General features: G+C 37.1%; 1 protein-coding gene and 1 pseudogene across 11 annotated transcripts in view; both read left to right on the top strand.

Annotated features, from left to right (window-relative positions):
- SBF2 (SET binding factor 2) overlaps window positions 1-25,272 on the top strand; it is a 526,174-nt gene that overhangs the window by 26,328 nt on the left and 474,574 nt on the right. The window lies entirely within an intron of this gene.
- Window positions 6,226-7,303, top strand: LOC653503 (G protein subunit gamma 10 pseudogene; annotated as a pseudogene).

Raw genomic sequence — 25,272 nt, 5'->3', positions numbered from 1 at the left:
CCTCTGCGCCCTGCCAGTATTTCTTAATTTTAAAACATTATTATGGTCAGAACTGAGATCATTAAATATTATAAGATTTAATATCCTATTATTGCTGAGCTCTCGAAATTTTTGGGGTTGGTTATGCAGTTGTTTATTGAGTAAAAGTTATTTATTTAAAATTGTTATTACCATAATTTACATTGCGAAGGCAAATATAACTTTTATAAGTTGATAATTTTATTTTCCCATATACTTATCAATGTCTTCATCATAAAATTTTTCATAAGTTTTTAGTTATAGCTGTAGGTTTCATTGTTTACTTGAAAGAAAATTAAAAACTAATTTTGCCTAGGGAAATATTTCACATAACTGCTTAAGTTTAAATGAATTTCAAACAGTATAGATTGATCTAGAGTATAGGAACAAAAAGATTGTTAACTAAGAAGATAAAAAAGTTTGGGTCTTTTGGGAAAATTAATACTATTGCAGGGAAGTACAGAGAATTCTCACTTTAAAATGTTTAAACAATAGTGCTTAGTTAAGCTCCAACACTCTGCTAGTTTCTTGGGGTTGCCATAACAAATTACTACAAACTCGTGATTTAAAACAAACACCATTCTCTCACAATTCTGGAGACTAGAAGTCTGAAGTTAAGGTGACAGGAGGGCCTCAGTCTCTCTGAAGGATTTAGGGAAGGATCCTTCCTTTCCCTCTTCCAGCATCTGGTGGCCCCAGGGGCTCCTTGATTGGTGGTAGCATAACTCTGATCTCTTTCTCTGTCATCACATGGCCGCATTCTCTGTTACTGTGTCCAAATCTCCCTTTCTTTTCTTTTATAAAGATGCTAATCATTGGATTTAGGGCTCACCCTAAATCCATGATAATTTTCATCAGAAGATCCTTAACTATATCTGCAAAGACCCTGTTTCCAAATAAAGTCACATTATGAGATTCTGATGGACGTGAATTTTTGGACAACGCTATTCAACTCACCACAAACACAATGGTTCATGCAGTTATTATAATAATAGTAGTTTGTAAATATTAGGAAATCTATCTGGATAGAACAGTGCTAAATAGGCTTAATTTTTTAAAAACAATTTTGCAACAAACAAAATTATTCAAAAAGCCAAACATATGAAATAGGAATCACTCCCACAACATTACAAGTTAAATCAGCATCCACTCTAAATACTTCATTGAAAAATAAGCTGTAGAAAATTCAGAATTCCTTGGAAGACAGATACATAGCTTTGCATGATTTTTTGTTTGTTTGTTTAGAGACAGAGTCTTTGTGATGCCTAGGCTGGTCTCAAACTCCCGGGCTCAAGCGATCTGCCCGCCTTGGCCTCCCAAAGTGCTGAGATTACAGGCCTTTTTTTTTTTTTTTTTTTTTTTTGAGATGGGGTCTCGCTCTGTTGCCCAGGCAGGAGTGCAGTGGCACTATCTTTTTAAAGTTTTTTGTAGAGATGGGGTCTCCCTATGTTCACCAGGCTGGCCTGGAACCCCTGGCCTCAAGGAATCCTCCTGCCTTGGCCTCCCAAAGTGCTGATATTACAGGCATGAGCCATTGTACCGAGCCTGTTTTACACAGTTTTAAGAAAGGCTTAAATTTGTGTTGTGTTCCTTGTTCTAACTTTAAATTACTAGTGCCACCTGTTTTCTCCATATTATTATATTGATAACAACCAGTAGATACTTTCTTGGGATCTAGTGTCACAGCCTACATTTCTCTATACACTTGTTTTACAAGCAGAGACTATCAGATTGAATCTTCATTCATTTAAAAAAATTGAGTGTGTTCACATTATTGCATTGACTCTTCATGGTTACACTGAGTTATCCTTGAAGGTGCATAAAGGTAAAATAATTTGTCCATGTTCATACTGATCATGAATGGAATTAAAAGGGATTAAATGAAACTTGAACCCAGTTTTCTGGCTTTAAATCAAAACTTTTGTCTATAAATACATTGTGGGGACTGGGAGGTGGAGATGAGTAGTGGCAAAGGCACTGAATTGATAAACAGTGAGTAGATTCTCAATTTGGCTGGAATATTGGGACCATAAGAAGAGAACTAATGAGTAATAAATGAAGATTATATTAGAGCAGCCAAAACAGTTTTTTTTCCAACTATTTTACTAGGCCAACCACTTTACATTGTGTTTCTTCTGTCCTCCTTCTCTGGAGTTGAAATTCTTGATATTTTGGCAGCCACAGGTGAGAAAATTGATACAAATAAATAAAAGAAAATTTAAAACTTGTTACACAGGAAGGTTTAAAAGTGTTTTCACTTTTGGTAGTGGAAACTTTGGTAGTCAGGAAGATTGAAAATGCTTTTGAAAATTTTTTTTGTTGCAAAGTATGGTTGCTGTTTTTGGCATAACAGGTTAAGTCCAGATTCCTAATTATGGTAGAAAATAATTTTTCCCCTCATCAGTAAAGTATTTTGTAGAAAGTAAAAAACTATGCAAATTGACCACTGTTAAAAGATCATTCTCAGAAAACATTGCTTTTTTTCAAGCTTCTTGAATTTAATGCTTTGCTTTTAACTATGATTACAACTCCAGAGAATTTTCAAATGTTGAAACCTGTATAGCATGTTGTAATCTGTAGTGTTATGAATACCACATAAATTTAGAGACAGCAATGAAACATCACATTTTTTTCCCCACTCTTAAATGTTGACTTAAGAAGTCACCTAGTAGACTCTCACTGGTAGGTATGATTAAAAATGGATAGAGCCTATAGAATTTTTTGTTAAAATATTTATTTTGAAACAATGAATTGTTCCCCAAGAAGCAGTTTTTGTTTTACTCCTTCTAGTGTATTGGTTTTTTTGTTTTGTTTTAAGATTCTGTTGCAGCCTTGGAAATGAGGAGGATTGGGATACTTTTTTTTTTTTTTTTAAATTAATGAAAGAATGTTAAACCGTAGAATACAAGTTAATGAAAAGTCATGTAAGTAAAAAGCAATTTTAGTTTTGTAAGGTATACATGTATTTTACTGTAGAAACTAAGAACACGAATAGTAAAACAGTATTCAGTACATCCTACAAATAACTTAAAATATTTTAGTTTTATCTTGTGTAAGTAGGAAGTCATGCGGAGATGGGTGTCATACCCGTCAAGATGCTCCAACAGAGAATCAAATATACTTTGGTCTTAGAATTTAGAGTTTTGCCACTAAAGACTTTTAAAGCCATATTGTGCTTTTATAGTTACAAGCACAAATGGGGGTAACACCTTGGGAAAAGTTCTGGCTCTCAAAGGAACCAGGTTAATTGCCTTTGCTTTCAGATTGATTGTCTGGTGTTCTCTCTTTCTTTTTTTTCTCTTCTCTCTCTTTTCTCGGTCTCCTTTCTCTATAAACTGTGTTTTGTTTTACTCACATTTGACTTTACCTCCTTATGGACTTAGTTTCTGGACTGATCCTTTCTCCCTGGCTATTGAGTTCAGGTGTCCATGTGATTTGGAAACTCTGCTCATCTATTTTTCTACCCAGTTTTTACTTTTAATTCATAACCAGGATGGTGGTGGTTCTGCTGCATATTTCTGGTGCATGCTTCTGCATATTCATTTGCATATTGCTTCCACTGACGTGCCTGTGCTAAACTGTTTTACTTACAGTAGTAATACATACTTGTTAAAAATTTTAAGCATTACAGAAACTTGCAGACTCTTGAATGTAGTACATAGCTCTACAGATCTTATCACAATGAATTTGTTTCTAGGTACTTGAACAGAAACTTTCTAATTCTTTCTTTTTTTTTTTTTTTTTTGAGATGGAGTCTTGCTCTGTCACCCAGGCTGGAGTGCAGTGGCACAATCTCGGCTCACTGCAATCTCCACCTCCTAGGTTCAAGCGATTCTCCTGCCTCAGCCTCCTGAGTAGCTGGGATTACAGGTGCCCACCACCACTCCCAGCTCATTTTTGTATTATTAGTAGAGACAGTGTTTCACTATGTTGGCCAGGCTGGTCTTGAACTCCTGACCTCAGGTGATCCGTCTGCCTCGGCCTCCCAAAGTGATGGGATTATAGGCGTGAGCGACTACTCTGGCTGAAACTTTATAATTCTCTTAATAAAATGAAACTTTCTAATTCTCTTAATAAAATGAAACCCTTAATAAAACAAAACCCTGTAATTTTAAACACTACAGAAACCTGCTGACTCTTGAATGTAGTACATATCTCTTCAGATTTTGTCACGATGAATTTAGTTCTAGGTACCTGAACAGAAACTTTAAAATTCTCTTAATAAAATGAAACCCTAGTCCTCCAAGGTTGACAGCGGAAGGAGCGCCTGCCTCTGTATGGGAAGGATTGGCTTGAACTCAAAGCTCCAGTTCTTCTATTTCTCCAGTGATCTCATGGAGTGCCACTTTTTCTTAACATTCTGGCCTAACTCCCACTGCCAAATCATTCATACTTTTATTTGCTGAGGCAAAGCTGCAGCAGTGAAATAAAACTTTTCTAAAGGTTAAAAATAAAAAGATAATGAAACCAGAGAATAACTTTTAAGTCAGTAGTCTGGTTTGCAAGGTATAGTTTCCTCCTTTTCAGTCTGTAGTCTCCTAAAGGGATTCCACCCTGCCTAGTTTGTGGTCTGCCATCATATGATGAAGGTCATCTTGCCTTTCAGCATGTTTCCTTAAGTCTAGGCCCTAGATGGTGGCAAGACAGACAACCTATTCCTGTCAGGTCTATCTAATGAGGTCCATTTTCCTGGTTCCAGTTTTCCATCCAAATGTCTGTTTCTTTTCTGTATGATTGATATCAGGGCTATGCTTCAGGAGATATTCCATTTCTTATCCAAGGCCTTAAACTACAGCACTAACTGGTCTGCTACATTATAATTTAGCACAAGAAGAAGAGATACACACATACAGCAGTGTGGGAAGGGACATCTTTGTTTTTGTACCTGTTTGCCACCCATGGTCCTAGCATTGACAAAACTTTGATGTTACCTAGAAACATGGTCATAACATTCATACACAAATCAAAGCACAGCTAAATAAGCTTTATATTTTCTGTTTCTTCTAAAAGAAAAATAAGTTCTTTAGAAGCATGTGCTCATATTTATTTTTAATTGATTCATTGTAGTCTTTTCTGTTTGATTTTAATCTGAACAAATAATGATACAATTTTTATTACTTAGTAAGCATGAATGTTGAAGCAATTTTTTAAAAAACAGTAATTCGAGTTCAAAAACATCTAGATCCTGGGCTGATTTAACTTGTGCAATTAAGTTGAAGTAATGATTTCTGAAAGCTTGTCCTATCCCTTTCATTTGACTCCCTTTTGTACAATGGGTCTGTTCTTTCTACTAATAATTAAACAGAATAATTAGTTATCAAATAATTCAAAAACTAAAAACGGTCTTCTATTTACATGTTACAAAAAGGCTCACTCCAGGGATTTATTTATTCATTTATTTATTTATTTATTTATTTTTTTTTTCGGAGACGGAGTCTCACTCTGTCACCCAGGCTGGAGTGCAGTGGCGCGATCTTGGCTCACTGCAACCTCTGTCTCCCAGGTTCAAGTAATTGTCCTGCCTCAGCCTCCACAGTAGCTAGGATTACAGGCATGTGCCACCATGCCTGGCTAATTTTTGTATTATTAGTAGAGATGAGGTTTTACCATGTTGGCCAGGCTCTCTCGAACTCTTGACCTCAGGTGATCTGTCCACCTGGGCCTCCCAAAGTGCTGGGATTACAGGCGGGAGCCACCGCGCCCGGCATGTTATTATTATTATTATTATTTTAAGACAAGGTCTGGCTCTGTTGCCCAGGCTGGAGTGCAGTGGTATCATCACAGCCCACTGCAGCCTCTGCTTCCCAGGCTCAAGCCAATCTCAGCCTTCCAAGTAGCTGGGACTACAGGCACATGCCACCATGCCTGGCTAATTTTTGTATTTTTAGTAGAGACGGGGTTTTGCCGTGTTGCCCTGGCTGGTCTTGAACTGGTGAGTTCGCACTTTGGTAGTGCTGGGATTACAGGCGTAAGCCAGTGTGCCTGGCCTGGTATTTTTTATTTTTAATGAATAATTTTAAAGAAATGGTATGGTGAAATCACCGTGTTTGCCCAGGGTTGTTTGTACTTGTGGCTCATGAGGTTTGAAGTTATTGAAGAAATTGTTGCAAGACTTAAGGAAATTGTGTGAGTAACTGGTAACTAGCAAGTAAGTAAGCCTTAGTTACAGTGAACGACTTGTCATTCTCCTAAAGAATCAAGATTGCTGCAGCCCCTAGGAGCCCAGCGCCGCCGCCATGTCCTCCGGGGCTAGCGCGAGCGCCCTGCAGCTCTTGGTAGAGCAGCTCAAGTTGGAGGCTGGCGTGGAGAGGATCAAGGTCTCTCAGGCAGCTGCAGAGCTTCAACAGTACTGTATGCAGAATGCCTGCAAGGATGCCCTGCTGGTGGGTGTTCCAGCTGGAAGTAACCCCTTCCGGGAGCCTAGATCCTGTGCTTTACTCTGAAGACTCGAGAGAAGTTTGCTGAGGAATGCCTTCAAGCACAAAGTGATGAATGACTGCCTTCAAGTCTCAAGAAAACACTTTTACCTAACTTTTAGAGATATTTCAGCCCTTTCCTGTGGCCTGGTCCTATAGCCAAAATCACAGATATTCATGAGTTTCTACTTGAGTGAGAAAACTGGGTGAAGGAATAGAATTTTAAATAGTAATAACTGCTTGTTTTTTTGTGCAAGTACTTTTATACATAAGATAAACAAAAACCTTACCACCAAACATACCAAAATGCACCTCTTTCATAAGTGAGTTACTAAGATTTCTATACCTGGAATATCATGTATGTTTCATTTACTGGATGTTTACATTTTAGGAAGGAAAATAGTTTTGTTTATTTAAACAACTGAATACTTATAAACTGTTGTTCCTGGAAGTTATTTATTCCATAAAAAATTTGTTCTTTTCTCATGAATTTATAATTCCTAAATGAAGACCAGAAAGTACAAATTGCTGGGAGGAAGAATAGGCTTTATTAATCAACTGATGTCTTGATTTTTCTAAATGGGAAGATTGCTTTATTTTTAACACTAATTATGGGAGCAGATTCTTAGCAAACTTCTTTGGAAAAGTTAATGTTATGATGTGCATTAGGCTGCCCCATCGTGTATATAAATGAAGCAGATTTGATTTTTGTATTCTTACGTTTCTCTGCTTTGTAGTTGTGGCTGTACTTAAAGAAATACAGAATTTCATATATTTAAAAATGTTTAAAATGTGACCCACAGAACATTGTAAATGATTAAAAACTAACATGAAAATATTACAACCTAAAAGAATTCTTAACTTCAAAAAAAAAAAAAAAAAAGAATCAAGATTGCTGTCCTTGGTTTTGCAATTGCTACTCCCTTGTTATTCTGTCTTTTTGATCATAACCACTCCAGTGGGTAAGAAGTGGCATACTGCTGACATTTTAACATATGTATTTCCAGAGATTTTTGTGTGCATCCATATACGTATATATGTATAATTAATTTTACTACTTTTTTTTTTTTTTTTTTTTTTTTTTTGAGACAGAGTCTTGCTCTGTCGCCCAGGCTGGAGTGCAGTGGCACAATCTTGGCTCACTGCAAGGTCCGCCTCCCGGGTTCACGCCATTCTCCTGCCTCAGCCTCCCCAGTAGCTGGGACTACAGGCCCCCGCCACCAGGCTTGGCTAACTTTTTTCCGTTTTTTAGTAGAGACGGGGTTTCAGCGTGTTAGCCACAATGGTCTCAATCTCCTGATCTTGTGATCCGCCTACCTCGGCCTCCCAAAGTGCTGGGATTACAGGCGTGAGCCACCGCGCCCGTCCTCATTTTACTTCTTAAAAACATGTTTATAGCATCTATCCATTTATATAAGCTGTGTTTTTAAAACTTATCTGCATGTTATTGGAAGCTTTCCATGTTCTATATACAGTTGACTCTTCAACAACATGGATTTGAACTGCGTTGGTCCACTTATACACATTTTTTTCTGCCTCTGCTACCCTTGAGACAGCAAGAATAACCCTTCCTCTTCCTCCTCCTCAGCCTACTCAACATGAGGACAATAAGGATGAAGACCTTTGTGATGATCTGCTTCCACTTAATAGTAACTGTGTTTTCTTATGATTTTATTAATAACATTTTCTTTTCTCTAGTCTGCTTTATTGTAGAATACATTATATAATACATATAAACATTAACAATATGTATTAATCTACCATTTATGTTATCTGTAAGGCTTCTGGTCAAGAGTAGGCTATTAGTAGTAAAGTTTTTTGGGGAGTCATAAGTTATATGTAGATTTTTGACTGCACAGGGGTTGGTGCATCTAACCCTTGAGTTATTCCAGGGACAACTTTGTATATATAAAACATAACATCAATTTTTATTAACTACAAAATGTTTTTATCATTTTAATATATAATTTAAAGTAAATAAATTTATCAGTTAATCTCATGGTTAGATAATTTTGTTATTTCCAAATTTTTGCTGTTATAAATAGTGCTGTGATGAATTGTTCTAGCCAGATTTTTGCATTGATTTTTAATTTCTCAGGATCAAATAGAGAGGCAGTAAATTTTAGTAGTAGAAAAGTTAGAAGTGTGGGATGAGCTAGATGTGGTGGCTCACTCCTGTAATCCCAGCAAGTTGGGAGGCTGAGGTGGGAGGATCATTTCAAACCAGGAATTTGAGGTTCCAGTGAGCTATGATTGCACTACTGTACTCTAGCCTAGGTGACAGAGTGGGACCCCATTTCTACAAAAATAGATAAAGTGTGGGATGGAGCCACATAGTCTGAGCTTGATTCTTGGTTTTGCCTCCTAGTAGTTCTGGCTTTAGACAAGTTACTTAATTTTTCTGTCTCAGTTTCTGCATTCATAAAATTGGATAATAGTAAATAGTAGTATCTACCTCATAGAGATGTTGTGAAGATTAAATGAGTTATTTCATGTAAAGTAAAACAGTGTCTGGTACACAATAATAGTGCCACATTTTCATCATAGAAATGGAACTGCCGGGTCAAGGATATGTATGTTTATATGGACATATGTGAATTTTCTTCCTGGCATCCCTTCCTTTGGGAACCATGCCTTCTTTTCTCTACGGTTCCAGGGAAAGTTTCAGTCCTAGTTACCCTACCCTCTACTTTAAGCTGGACCGGTTAGAGCTTGGGTGTTTTCTTTTGGAACAAACTGGCACGCCTATCTTTTCCCACTAGGATGACTAAGGTAAGATACTGTGATTAAGTTGAGGCTGCCAGTGTGTGTTTTCCTTACTGTGTTTAGAGAGTCTCTGAGTATTGAACACAAGCTGAGGCAAGGATAGTCAAAAAATGAAAAGACAGACATAGCTCTGGAAACATTATCTAAACTTCTGGTTCCAGCTGTTTCTGAAAGCCAAAAGAACATTTTGAATAGTTTTGAGGTATATTGCTAAAATGCCTTGCAGAAAGATGTGTCAGTTTATACTCTCAGTAGTAGTATGGGAGTATACCTACTTCCTTCAGGGAGATTTTAATTAGGAAAAAAAAATCACTTAATGAGGTATTGCTTAAGAAACAACAGAGGAAACTGCATAGCTTCATGAAGACGAAGATGCTAAGGGGCTGGTTCAGAGAGATCAGACCTTCAGATTACATCTCTGAAACATTTTGCTGCTTGTCTTTGGTCTTTACTGTGTCCTAGAAATGTTTGAAACAAGGAATTGGAGTTCTGAAAATTTCAAGGTCTTTCCGTTTACATTTGTCTAATTTTTTTAGACTGAAAAAGAGTTCCTTGAGAGCATGGCCCAAATATATCACAGTATGCTATCCGTAGAGAAACTTTTGAAACTGGAAAAAATGTCCTTTCAACAGAGAGACTACTACTTTTTTAGCAGAATGCTTTACACACTGGGAAGTAAACAATTATTTACTGATTGTTTATTGAGTAGACAGTTGAAGGGCTTTTGGTGATTTTCCTAACAGACTGAGTTAGGAGAAAGAATTTGTGTTGTTTCTGGAAAGGGCTATTTTCCACTGATGACACCATTCTATAAATGTCATCTTTTTCGTTGATCCATTGTAGCTTTTTGTGTACTGTATTAATAATTTACAAGGTTCACTAATACCATGATTTGAAGAAAACAAATTGTTTGGGAACTTGACATCTCTCTATTTTTTTTCTTCAAGCAAACATTCTGTCCTTATAGTAATTTAAAATATAGGTTTAAGAACTTAAAATGGAAGATTCTTGTTTAAAGAAAATAAGTGGTTTTGTGGCAAGTTTTTAAGTGGAAAAAAAAATCTGTATAGTTAATGACATCTGCTTGTAGGTAAAACTATGTCCTTTGTTTTTCCTAGCTTAAGTTAATTCTAGTAACATTTACAGAGAGAAATCAAGTGTCAGAACAAACTTGGACAATAATAGTATGAAAATTAATTCACAGTGGAAAGTAGCAGTTGGGACTGGAGTGAATTTTATAAATGCTTCATATACTTGTCCTACGCGGTCTTCTAGGGAATTTGAAAAGAATGTTACTTGTTTTTCTTTGGAGACAGATGTTTTACCAAATCTTAGCGTGAGTAAACCCAAATCCACATGAGATTGGAGTTAATAAAAGTCATTTTTTTAACAGGAGGAAAGAAATGAGAGGAACAACAGAATAAATATTCATTTAAGATAGTGAAACACTGAAGATTTTTGAAAATGTAAATTACTATATTACTAAAAAACCATATTACTCCCTTCTCCCTCACCCCCACCTTAAACTCCCTTTCACTGCTACTGTTCAGATTGTGTGTTTGAGGAATTTGGTTGTAGAAGAATAAAGTCTGGGTGTAGACAGTTTCGGGTTTGTATAGCCATCTGGACCAGGCTGCTTCTAGCTTTGTACTTAGCCACTCAGCTCCATCCCATCTATATTCCAAGTAGGAGTAAGACCCTGTCTCAAAAAAAAAGAAAGAAAAGAAAATGCAGCATGTTCAAGCATATCTGGCTCATTCAAACCTCTTCCCCTTGGCCATTCGCTCAAGTCAGAAACTTGCCACACTCCTTTCTCTCTCACCTTCACTTCAAAGTGTTGTTTTTTTTTCCCTCAAAATTTTCTCACATCTTTTTTTTCCTCTGTTTTCACAGTCACTGCCATAGTTTAGGCCCTTATCAGTTCTTACTCGGATTACTATAAAGTGCACTCTGTTAGGATAGAGGTTTGGCTTCCAGTAATAGGGACTTAAGTGTCTCAAACAATATAGAAACTTATTTCTTTAAAAGTTAAAGTCTGGGTGTAGACAGTTTCGGGTTTGTATAGCCATCTGGACCAGGCTGCTTCTAGCTTTGTACTTAGCATCTCAGCTCCATCCCATCTATATTCCAAGTAGGAGGATGGAGGAAGTAGGGAAGAAGAGATAGCCCCCTTCCCTTTTTAATTTAATTTAATGTAATTTAATTTAATTTAATTTATTTTTGAGATGGAGTCTCACTGTCACCCAGGCTGGAGTGCAGTGGCACGATCTCGGCCCATTGCAACTTCATCCTCCCAGGTTCAAGCGATTCTCCTGCCTCAGCCTTCTAAGTAGCTGGGATTAAAGGCATGTGCCACTACACTTGGCTAATTTTTGTATTATATTTTCGGTAGAGACGGGGTTTTACTGTGGTGGCCAGGCTGGTCTCGAACTCCTGACCTCAAACCATCTGCCAGCCTCGGCTTCCCAAAGTGTTGGGATTACAGGCGTGAGCAACCACGCCCGGACCCTCTTCCGTTTAAAGGCCAAAATCAACTACGTTTCCTTTGGCCAAAACTTATCCTGGGAAATGTGGTCCATATCCCTCATGTTAAAATTGGAGCTTCTGTTATCACCATCATCATCACTGTCATCATCATCATAGCTGTTAGGAAATAACTAATCAAGTGTAGACATCTCTTTATTTCCTTGCTTTCAGTTAAATTCTTCTCTAGCTAGTTCCATATTGCCACCAGAGTAATTTTTTTTTAAAAGGAATGTTTATGTCACTTTGTATTTAATCTTTGAGTAGTTTGCTACTAGCTTCAACTTCATACTCAGAATGTCTCACGGTATCTAAACAGTGTCAGTAGCAGAGGAAATCTGCATTTACCCGTATCTAGCCTGGGTCCTGTTGTCCTGCATGCAGGGATATCCCCTCCCCATAGTGATCAGTGTCTCCTAGTCCTTTACAGTCTCAGTGCTCTGTCCTTGGCCGAGAGGTCTTTAATTGCACAAATAGTGTCCTCTCCTCTGTAATTCTGCAGTGAGGGTCTGTATGAGGTAGCATGGCGATTGACTGGTCACAAGTAGCATTAAGTTCTAGCGTCAAACAACCTGAGTTTGTGCTTAGCCACCTATTGGAATGTGGCTGTGGACAAATCATTTAACTACAGAGCTGAGTTTATCCTCTGTAAATCTGGGATAAAAGTATGAGTAGTAGCTGCCTCATGTGATTGTTATGAGGATTAAATGAACTGATAAGCAAGGTCTTCTGCCTAGCCGAAAAAGTACTAAAAAAAATGGCAGGTTGGGCTGCCAGGCATGATGGCTCATGCCTGTAATCCCAGCACTTTGGGAGACCAAGGTGAGAGGATCACTTGAGGCTAGAAGTTCAAAACCAGCCTGGGCAACAAAATGAGACCCCCATCTCTAAAACACACACACACATGCGCGCGCGCACACACACACACACACAATTAGCCTGGCCTGGTGGTGTGCACCTGTGATCCCATCTACTTGAGAGGCTGAGGCAGGAGGGAGGAGTGCTTGAGCCTGGGAGGTTGAGGCTGTGGTGAGCCATGATTGCACCACTTGTACTCCAACCTGGGTAACAGAGCGAGACCCTGTCTCAAAAAGAAGGCAGCTATTATTATTTACATAGGTGCATATATGTTCTTCACATAAGTCCATAATATTTAGGCGTGTTTCACAGAATTTAAGCTGCATGTGGTTTTCATTGAGTTCTCTAGATTTTTTATATTGACTGTATGTTTGTATATTCATTGACATATTTTAAAAAGATACCCTGTGTTGATACCCCCCCACCTCTCCCCCCCCCCGATTTCTGCACTTGACTGTGAGCTTTTAAAGATAGAAACTGTTAAATTTACAAGAAAAAAACAACCCCATCAAAAAGTGGGCAAAGGATATGAACAGACACTTCTCAAAAGAAGACATTTATGCAGCCAACATGCATATGAAAAAAATGCTCATCATCACTGGTCATTAGAGAAATGCAAATCAAAACCACAGTGAAATAACCATCTCACACCAGTTAGAATGGCAGTCATTAAAAAGTCAAGAAACAACAGAATGCTGGAGAGGATGCGGAGAAATAGGAATGCTTTTACATTGTTGGTGGGAGGGTGAATTAGTTCAACCATTGTGGAAGACAGAGTGGCAATTCCTCAAGGATCTAGAACTAGAAATACCATTTGACCTAGCAATCCTGTTACTGAGTATGTACCCAAAGGATTATAAATCATTCTGCTGTAAAGACACATGCACACGTATGTTTACTGCGACACTACTCACAATAGCAAAGAATTGGAACCCACCCAGATGTCCATCAATAATAGACTGGATAAAGAAAATGTGGCACATAGACACCATGGAATACTATGCAGCCTTAAAAAAGGTTGGGTTCATGTCCTTTGCAGGGACATGGATGAAGCTGGAAACCATTCTCAGCAAACTATCCTAAGAACAGAAAACCAAACACCACATGTTCTCACTCATAAGTGGAAGTTGAACAATGAGAACACATGGACATAGGGAGGGGAGCATCACACACCAGGGCCTGTCGGGGGGTGGGGGGCTAGGGGAGGGATAGTATTAGGAGAAATACCTAATGTAGGTGACGAGTTGATAGGTGCAGCAAACCATCGTAGCATGTATATAACTATGTAACAAAACTGCACGTTCTGCACATGTACCTCAGAACTTAAAGTATAATAAAAATTTTAAAAATTAACAAAAATAAAAAAATAAATAAAGTAGGAACTGTTTTCTGCTCATTTTTTTTGTAGTACCTGGCAAAATACCTGGCACATGGAAGACCCTTGGTAAATACATATTGAATTAATATTGAATGAGCAATTATACTAAGATGGGATGGCAGCCTAGATGCTATCCTTCTGCTCCCATTTTCTTTTCAAGCATGCATCTCCCTATATAATCTTCCCTAAAAGAATTTTTAGTATACATAGGTGAGATCTTTATTATAACTCTGTCAGTTATTCTCAACATTTTTTCTAATGAGAAGCTGAGCTTTATTTCCCTGAAGTATTGTGAGTATTTGGATTAGAGAAGAAGGTGACCAAGTATCACTGTACCAGTTACTGATAGGAGTGGGAGGAAGATTATGGTTGCTGAGCATTCCTTCCCCATTATAAGGAATACTCAAGAGCTATAAAGAGGGCAGTTTGGCAGTAAAACCATCTTGGAATTTGATGATGTAAAGCTTGAAGATCTCCAAGCTGCCTGCTGTTGACAAATATTCCTTAGTAAGCTTTACCTAAGGCAGAAGCACATTCACATAAGCACCTTGGATTATCTTGTAGTTCTTATTTTTTAATATTAACTTTATAAATCATGAATATTTTTGTAGTTATCAGGTTATTGTTAAGACCTGTTTGGATAATTTTCCTCAGATAATGCTTGAATGATGGGATTTTTGGATATTGTTGTTTTTTCGTTTTTAAGTGGATAATTTGGACTGTTCAAGTGTTTCCTCACCTTTTCCGTAAGGATGTTCAAATGTGTTTAATATATTCCAGAGAGTTTAATTTCAGCCAGGATAAAGTTTTCATTTGATATGGTATATTCTTCTATGTCATTTTTCCGGGTGAATGGAGTTGAGTATTCTCTAATGTAGCCAAAGGCTTCTATTCTTAAGTACAGCAGAGATTTTATACAAACCCTTCACTTTATAAATAAGGAACCTAATGTTTAATTAGGTACTTATTAGTAGTAAGAGTCTCTGACTTATTTAAAGGTCAGAGTTTATTCTAGTAGAAGTTACTGCATGTCTCTTGATACTAGTAATTAACCTATTGTAGCTTGAATTAACCATAGTTATCATTAAGGTTTTAAGAAGACTGTAATTCATTCTCTTGATCATTCATACATGGAAGTCAGGGCAACCCCTCTAAACAGAAAGTAAAGTGTGGTTTCTTCCAGCATTATGTCATTATAATTCACACAAATTAAAAAAAAACTTGAATTTTTACTATATCTGATACTTCCAGCTTCATAATTTTTCTTTGGGGGATAAAAATGTGTAATTATTATTAAAACCATATAAAATATGAATAATGTGCTTATTTTCTTTTGTCTGAAATGTTGATTTATTGTGCTGATTTTTTTTATTTAAAAGGATAACAGAAGATTCTTGAATGATTTATCAATTGGCCTTCAATAGGTATAGAAAGAAGGTATCTATAAGGAGGAGATTTTAAGATTCTAAATGTATATTGTATATAATTTTTTAAAACAGGGAAGTAGTACAATTTCTTTAGGATTAAATGTTGTATTGAACACTGATAAAATATTTATTAATTTTAAAGAATGTCATTACTTGTTAATGCAAGTTTTTTTTTCGTCTTATATGGTAGTAAAATTATAGACTCCCTGAGGATCCTTTTATCCTCAGGTAAAGAATCTGAGACCTCTGGTGTCATAGCTCTTTGCAGAACATTTAGAGAAAGCATCAACCAATTATTTTTGCATAGATGAACTATTAAGTTGAATTCAGCAGGTATAGGATATTTCATTAATCAAGGACTCAAAAAAATCAAGGATACTTGGTTAAAAGTTTTTAGCTTTCAATGTGTGTGTGTAGTGTATGCATATACATCTATGTATTTACATTTTAGTTGACTGACAGTTGTCTTTTGGAAGTTACGGTTTATAAAATAAAATAATTTATACATACATAGAAAGCATAATAAACAGATCACTAAACTCTTTTCTACCCTCGCATCAGAGAGCAGCCCCTAAGAGGCTTATAGTCTATTTTATAAGGATGAGATGTCTGTGGAAAGATAATTATCATATTGCCAGGTGAGTGCTCTAGACAGTAAGACTAGGTTCAGAAGGCTGAGGGTGACAGGAAAGGGCTCATGGAAGTAGTTTATTTTGAGTTGCACTTTGAAGGATTGGATGAGGCTTTTTTTCCTCTACAACATTTGATTATGAAAAATTTCAAATACAACGAAGTTGAAAGAATTTATACCAAACGCCTGTATAGTACTACCTACACTTTGTACAATTAACATTTTATTATACCTGTTTTATCATATATTACTCCATCTGTTGATTCCTATATCATCCACTAATCTATCTTTTTTTGGATGTATTTCACAGTAAATTATTGATACCAGTATCTTCCCCCAAACTAGTTTGGCATGCATATAATTAACCATAATGCAATTTTGGGGACTTTTTTTTTCTTTTGATGCAATGTTCACATATAATGAAATAAATCTTAAATTTACATTCCTGGAATTTTACACATCTTTGTAATTTAAACATGTATTAAGATACAGTATATTATGCCCCTTCTGAGTCACTTCCTGCCCTGTCCTCCCAGAGGCAGTCACTGTTCTGATTTTTTTGTCTGCCATAGATTAATTTTTCCTATTCTAGAACATCATAGAAATGGAATCATATAGCACATATTTCTTTATGTAAGGCTTCTTTCACTCAGCATGTTTTTGAAGTATATCCACATTATTATGTTTGTTAGAAGTTTGTTCCCTTTTTTGCTGAATGATATTCCATTATGTGAATCAACAAGTTTGCATATCCATTCTATTGATGAATACCCGGACTGTTTCCAGTGTTTGGCAATAATGAATAAACTGCTATGAATATTCTTATAAGTGTTTTTGTGAGTGTAGTTTTTAATTTCTTTTGGGTAAATACCTAGCAGTTGAATTTTTGGGTTATAGGTGGGTGTATGCTTAGTTTTATAAGAAACGACCACATCTTTTCCCAAAGTGGTATACCATCTTATGTCTCCACCGACAATGTATGAGAATTGCAGTTGGCTGGGCACAGTGGCTCACGCCTGTAATCCCAGCACTTTGGGGGGCCAAGGTGGGCAGATCACCTGAGCCTAGGAGTTTCAGACCAGCTTGGGCAACATGGCAAAACCCGCTCTCCACAAAAAATATAAAAATAAGTTGGGTATGGTGGCATGTGCTTGTAGTCCCCACTACCCGGTAAGTTGAGACGGGAGGATTGCTTGAGCCCAGGAGGTGGAGGTTGCAGTGAGCAAAGATGGTACCACTGCACTCCAGCCTGGGTGACAGAGTGAGATACTGTTTCAAAATCAAAACAACTACAACAAAAAGAGAATTTCAGTTACTCTATAATCTCATCAGTATTTGGCATCGTCAGTCTTTTTGATTTTAGCCATTTTGAGGTATATGTACTAGTATCTCATTGTGATTTTAATTTCTAGTTTTCTCTGCTGATTAATGATGTTGATCAGTTTTTTTCTTCTGCTCTTTGGTGAAGGGTCTGTTCAGATCATTTGCCTATTTTATAATTGGATTGCCATTTTATTACAGAGTTGTTACTACTTACGTAGTGGTGCTTAAATATTGGCTATTTTTTTTTCTTTTCTCCCTCTCTCCCTCCCTCCCTCCCCTTCTTTCTTTTCTTTTTTGAGGCAGGGTCTCTCTGTTGCCTAAGCTGGAGTGCAGTGGCACAATCACAGCTACTGCAATGTCAGACTCCTGGGCTCAAGCAATCCTCCTGTCTTAACCTCCTGAGTAGATGGGACTACGGGTGCACACCACCTCGCCCATCTAATTTTTAAAATCTTTTTTTTTTTTTTTTTTGAGATGGAATCTCGCTCTGTTGCCCAGGCTGGAGTGCAGTGGCGCAATCTCGGCTCACTGCAAGCTCTGCCTCCTGGGTTCACACCATTCTCCTGAGTAGCTGGGACTACAGGTGCCCGCCACCACGCCCAGCTAATTTTTTGTATTTTTAGTAGAGAGGGGGTTTCATCCTGTTAGCCAGGATGGTCTCCATCTCCTGACCTCGTGATCTGCCCGCCTTGGCCTCCCAAAGTGCTAGGATTACAGGCGTGAGCCACCGTGCCCGACCTGTAAATTTTTTTTGTAGAGATGGGGTCTTACTATGTTGCCCAGGCTGGTCTTGAACTCCTGGCCTCAAGTGATCCTCCTGCCTTGGCCTCCCAAAGTGCTGGGATTACAGGTGTGTGGCATTGTGCTCTGCAGATATTGGCTCTTCTTTGCATATGCCAAAATGTGCCCTTAGTGGACATAATTACTTATGAAAGATGAGTAATAGTCTTATTGAAATACAAATAATGCAGACTTCTAATTTTATTAACACATTATGGGTTGGGGGCAAATTAAAAACTATTGTGGCCTTTTAAAATTTTTTATATTATTTCTAAAGCTGATCTGAATAACTATTTTGCTGTCAGGCAGGAGAACCCAAACTATCCAAATCAGAGAATGATGTAGATAAATTTCTTAAGTATAAATTGTTCCTAGTAAGCAAATAACTATTCGAATATATGGAGTGAAATTAATATGATTCAGGCATTAGTTGGGTTAAAATCAGCTAATAAATGGTAGTGAGATCACTTGTTTTTGGATTTGAAATTGTGTGTTATTAAAAGTCCTCAAGAGAAGCTACTATTTTTTCTTTTAAATTTTTTGTTATTATAGTAGGTCTGCATGTTTATTCCAAATATAATAATCTCAAAATAAAAAATTATTTTTTATTTTATAAAGTAGGCTTATTTTGTTGCCCTTTAAAATATGTTATGTTTCGGAATCTCTAAAAATGTTGATGCTTTAGATAAGGTATATCTGGTGTTGATGTAACATTTTTATCCTGTTTTGGAAGAATTATTTTGTTAAGATCAAACATATTTTCAGAGTATTTAATATTATTAGTTCTATAAAAAGTACAAAGGGTGAGGGATTCCCTGTGGCTAAGGCCTTGTGGCTACAGTGTACTAATACATTTTTTGAAAAGCAATATTTATCAGATGTTTACATCTAGAAATAGGATTTTTCTTTTTTCTTAGTTAGGTTCTAAGGACAAGGTTTTCCTGTTGAGTGAGAGAAAAGAAATGCATGCAAATTAGTAGTAATAATAGCTAACATTTATTCAGTGCTTTCTATGTACAGAGCACTTTACAGACAGCTCATTTAATCCTTGCAGCCTTACTGAGGTGGAGATACTTTCATTTCCATTTTATACATGGGAATTGGAGGCTTTAGTTAACTTTCCCCAAATTTTGCATCTTAACAATAAAAGATGTGGGCTTAATTACAAGTATTCTAACTCTACAACCTGTGCTCTTAACACCTGACTTGTACTACTTCATTTCACACAAGGAAATTAAACTCTCCTTGTGTGAATTTAAATAGTGTTGGTTGCAAGGAAAAGACAACTTCTCAAGCTAGTTAAATCCAAAGGGGTACAATATTATAAGGGTACAATAAAGATCTCATAGAAGTCCAAGGACTAGGTTCCCAGGAGCTACAACTAGCTCCAAATGTGAACAGAGTCCATCTCTTACTTTTCTCTATGCCTTCTCTGTTCCCTGCCCCTCATTTTTTCTGTTGGCCTTTGCTCTGTTCCTTTGCTTATTAGTAGTTTCTTACTCCTTTGTGATTTCCATCTGCTGCCCTATTGTCACTATATGGCTCTTCTGGACCCTCTGCTTTATTGTTTGTTTCCCATTTTTAAAGATATATCTTATTTGCCCAACTAATCTTTTTGAGGCAGACTATGTAGTGAATGGGCTATATTCCTTTGGTGCCTATTCTGTCCAGTTATCTCAGAATGGGAGTAAAGTTACATGATCCAAAACATGGTCACTGGCCCTCAGCGTGGCCATGACATTTTCACCTAGAAGTGGTGTATGGATGAGCAGTAATCATAAGATTTACTGATTAGTAACTGTCCTAGTTTAGTTGAAATTATCAAAGAAAAAGATGGTCATGTGAAATTTTTTTTTTACTAGATAAGCATTTTCTAAGGTGCATTCCACAAAACATGAGTTCCAGGCAATGGCCTGTGAAGAGTGGTAACTTCAGCTAAATAATTATGAGAAACTCTGCTTAATATCTTTACTTATTTACCTCTTGGCTGGGCACAATGGCTTATGCCTGTAAATCCCAGCACTTTGGGAAGCCACAGTGGGAGGTTTGTTTGAGGCTGGGAGCTTCAGACCTGTCTGGGCAACATAGAGAGACCCTACCTTTAAAAAATAAAAATAAAAAATTAGCTAGATGTGGTAGTGCATACCTATAGTCCTAGCTACTCTGGGGGCTGGGGCATGAGGATTGCTTAAGCCCAGGAGTTTGAGGATGCAATGAGGTTTGATCGCACCACTCATTCTAGCCCAGGTGACAGAGGGAGATCCTGTCTCAAAAAAAAAAAAAAGTGTGTGTGTGTGTGTGTGTGTGTGTGTATGTGTGTGTATTTATACCTCTTAGAGATTCATAGTTTGGATTGGCATGTTAAAAATTCTGATATGTCCTACAATATAGAAGTTTGAGCTCTGTTTTAAATTTATTTTTACTTATTTTTATTTTTTTGAGACAGTCTTGCTCTATCACCCAGGCTGGAGTGCACTGGCGCGATCTCGTTTCACTGCAACCTCTGCCTCCTGGGCTCAAGCAGTCCTCCTGCCTCTCCTGGCTAATTTTTCTAGTTTTTATAGAGACAGAGTTTCACCATGTTGCCCAGGTTGGTCTCGTATTCCTGGGCTCAAGTGATCCACCCACCTCGGCCTCCCAAAGTGCTGGGATTATAGGCGTGAGCCACTGTGCCTGACCAAGCTCTTTTTAGTACAGCATTTCTTTTTTTTTTTTTTTTTTTTTTTTTTGAGGCAAGGCCTCACTCTGTCACCCAGGCTGGAGTGCAGTGATGCTATCGTATTTCACTGCAGCCTCTACTTCCTGGGCTCAGGTGATCTTCTCACCTTAGCCTTCTGAGTAGCTGAGAGTGGAGGCACACACAACCATGCCTATTTTTTTAATTTTAATTTTTAGTAGATACAAGGTTTCTACTGATAATAGGTGATCCTGAACTTCTGAGCTCAAGTGGTCCTCCCACTTAGGCCTCTCAAAGTGTTGGGATTGCAGGCGTGAGCCACTGAGCCTGGCCTGTAACATTTCTTATGCCTATTTGGTCATAGAACTTTCTTACTGTATGATATCTCACTGCATAGTGTTTTGGGAATCATTGCATTAGAGCACATTGGAAGATTTTTTTGTGGGGAAAGAGGTAGGATTAGTCAATGCTATAAAATCCTGTTGATGATTGTACTTTGCAGTCATTGACAGTATGGGATAATTGTTAAAAACATGAACTTTGGCATCACAGAGATAGAGTTTGAATTTCAGTTGTGCTATTTATTAGATGTGATCTTGGATAAGAACTTAACCTTTCTGGGCCTGAGTTTGCTAATGCGTGATGTTTCCTGTCAAGTGCTTAGCTCAGTGCCTGACGTGGTGAATAATTAATAAATGGTGATCAGTAAAATTTACCTGTATTTTTACTAGGAAGTGTTTGGATGTACCAGTTAGTACAATCATTCTTCTATAATAAATAATTATCTTTCATCTGAATAGTTTCGTCTAGCATAATTCTTGTGTCAGACTTCGTTATAGGATAAATATGGGATAAATACTGGGTCAAAGGAAAATTTCAATTTAGAGAAAAGATTTTGATGAGAGAGATGCTATTACGTTTTCCAGGTCAGGAGTAGAAATTATGGGGGCTGGTGTGAGATGAGATTGCTGTTTTGGATCTGCTGTGAAAGGAGTATTGTGTATAGGGGTGACAGTATGAGACTATACCCTGGAGAGGGTAGGCCAGATTTTTAAGTCTGAATTTATCTAATGAGGATTTTGGTTTATAATCCAAATGTATATGGGCAAACAGTGCTCTTAGTGGAAGCTACAACCATAGCTCATTTCTGACTAATGCGGCTTCAAGGGCTTGTATCAGTTGTTATGCTTTGTTATGAAGCCATTCTTCTTTGCCACAATTACCTGGACCAGGAACTGGCATCAGTGATATATAGGTAGGCCAGTGGCTTATAGCTTGGCCTGGCCCAGGAACTCTGTCCAATAGCTCTGTAAATGATGAATTAAATCAATCTTATCTTTCTTAGGGAATTTCAATGTGAGATATCAGAGAATGTAGTAAGCAGAAGCTGCAGGACAGTAGAAATCATGTAGTAGAAAGAGAGTAGTTATTGTGGAGAGTAAAATAAAACTACAGTCATAATAGGGGCAGAGTTGGGAAGCTAAATTTTGACAATAATCAACCAGAATTCCTTCCTATTGGGAACCAATTTTATTTTATCCTGGCCAGTGCTGCAGTTGTCAGTGAAGCCTGATTGTGGAGATTTTTCTTATATTTTCATATTCCCCCACATTTTCTTATACTAAATTTTCTTTATGAAGTAGCTCAAATGAGTCTGCATATAGTTTGGCAATTGGAAAGAGCCCATCTCGTGTAATACACCCTGTAAGTAAAGCACAATAATTTACTTAGTTGATGTGAATGGTGTTGACTGATTTGACAGGTGGGAGCAACAGGGACTTTGCTTGTGGCGCTGTTGACCAGGGAAACATGACTAAAGTTGTGCTTCTTTCCTGTTTTGACATAGTTTCCTCAGTAATGGGGTAAAGAGACCTGGTTTTATATCTTTGCCATTCATTAGCTATGTATGATCTTAGGTAACTCTTAATTTTATGGATGACCATTTTCTTTCTATAATTTGAATTAGTCACACTGACTTTTTGATTCAGCAAAAATGCTTTTTTAGGTCATTGTTCATAGTATTTAGAAATGGTCAGAGATAATAAATGTGAAAAAGTTAGAAAAAGAGGAACTATTATGGTCAATCTAAGTAAACATTAAAATATTGATGCAGCTGCACTAGGAAAGCCTAATAGTGTTCAGTGTTGCTCTACCACTTTTGTTTATGTAAAACGAATATCTGGAGGATAATGTATCTTCACAGAACTGACAGTAACTTATTTACTTTTGCTACCATGTGTTTCTGTTTTTTCTCCTTTATTTATATTTCAAATATTTATAACCATTTCCCCCAAAGAACTTGACAAACCAGTAGATTTGTTTTTCTTTTGTTTAAAGATTTTTATTTTTAATTGACAAATAAAATTTATGTGTGTTTATCATGTACAACATAATGTTTTGAAATATGTATACATTGAGAAATAGCTAATCTAGCTGAATAACATATACATTAACTTACTGATTTTGTATACTGAGAACACTTAAAATCTACTCTTTTAGTGCTTTTCAAGAATACAGTATATTATTTTTAACTATAGTCCCCATGACATACAATAGTTCTCTTGAACTTTTTCTTTTGGCTAACTGAAGTTTTATGTCCTTTGACCATCTCCTCAATCCTTCTCACCTGCTAGTCCCTGATAACCACCATTCACCCTCTGCTTCTGTGAGTTTCAGTTTTTTAAGATTCCATGTATAAGTGAGATCATTCTCTTCTTGGCTTATTTAATTTAATATCATGTCTTCCAGGTTCATTGATGTTTTTGAAAATAATAGGATTTTTTTTTTTTTTTTTTTTTTTTTTTTTTTTTTTTTTTGAGACAGAGTCTCACTCTGTCACCCAGGCTGGAGTGCAATGGCACAATCTCAGCTCACTGCAACCTCCACCTCTTGGGTTCAAGCTGTTCTGCCTCAGCCTCCTGAGTAGCTGGGACTACAGGCATGCACCACCATGCCCAGCTAACTTTTTTAATATATTTAATAGGGATTTCATCATGCTGGTTAGGCTGGTCTTGAACTCCTGACCTCAAGTGACCCACCCGCCTCAGCCTCCTATAATGCTGGGATTACAGGCGTGAGCCTCGGTGCCCATCCTCTTTTTTTTTTTTTAAAGGCTGAATAGTATTCAATTGTGTATGTATACCACATTTTCTTTATTCATTCATCTGTTGATAGACACTTAAGTTGATTCCATATCTTTGACTACTGTGAATAATGCTGCAATGAACATGTGAGCACATATATCGCTTTGAGATATTGATTCCCTTTTCTTTGGATATATACCTAGTAGTGGGATAGTTGGATCATATAGGTAGTTCTTTTTTTTTTTTTTCTTTTGAGACAGGGTCTCGCTCTGTTGCCCAGGCTGGAGTGCACTGTCACTGCAGTCTCGACCTCCTGAGCTCAAGCAGTCCTACTACCTCAGCCTCTTGAGTAGCTGGGACCACAGTCACACAGCACCATGCCCAGCTAATTTTTAAAATATTGTTATTTTTTGTAGAGCTAGGAGTCTTACTATGTTGCTCAGGCTGGTCTCAAACTCCTGGGCTCAAGTGATCCTCCCTCCTGGGCCTCCCAAAGTGTGGGGATTACAGGCATGAGCCACCATACCTGAGTATTTTTAATTGTTTGAGCAACCTCCGTACTGTTTTCCATAATAACTGTACTAATTTACACTCCTTCCAACAGTGTGTAAGGGTTCCCTTTTCTCTATATCCTCACCAACACTTGCTATTTTTTATCTTTTTGATAATAACTATTTAACAGATGTGAGGTAATATTTCACTGTGGTTTTAATTTGCATTTCCCATACTATTATCGATGTTGAATATTTTTTCATGTATCTTGTGGCCAGATTTATTTTTCACTCAGTGCTTACCTAGGCTTTTTATCTGGGATCAGCGTGATAAGGGGGCAGAAGAACAAAGAAGGCCTTTTTGTTTTTTTTTGGAGATTTGGAGATTCCTAATGTGTGAATTATGGTATTAATAACTGACAAACTAAATTATACTGTGATTCATTATAGTAATATCTCAGGGCAATTGAGATATTAAATTGAAAAATCAGGGCGGTGATTTTTCCTTTATGAGAAAAAGTGCCCCTTTTAGCAAAAAGTAATGCAGACTTCCCAAAAGTAATCATTGTAGTTTTGTATTGGTAGAGTCTGTGATTTAGAGATTCTTTGCCATAATATTCTGTTTCTCCACAGAATCAGGGATATATCCAGGAACAAAAAGAAATTAAGAAAAGCGTTTCCAAGCAGTTAAAATCACTGTCTTAAAGAGTACTAATGTGCAGACAGGGTTTACTTTTGATTTTATATAGTTCTTACGTCTATCTCTTGCATCTCCTCCCAAAAAGAAAAAGACAGGCTTTCAGAAACAAGTTGTGGCTCATTTCTGCTTTCCTTTCTCTCATAACTCTTTTTATTTTCATTATATTATATATGCACATAGTTTAAAAAGTCAGATCTGTAG

The sequence above is a fragment of the Homo sapiens genome, chromosome 11 (assembly GCF_000001405.40).
Source record: "Homo sapiens chromosome 11, GRCh38.p14 Primary Assembly".
Lineage (NCBI taxonomy): Eukaryota > Metazoa > Chordata > Mammalia > Primates > Hominidae > Homo > Homo sapiens.
This window is presented reverse-complemented; position numbering and strand designations above follow the sequence as displayed.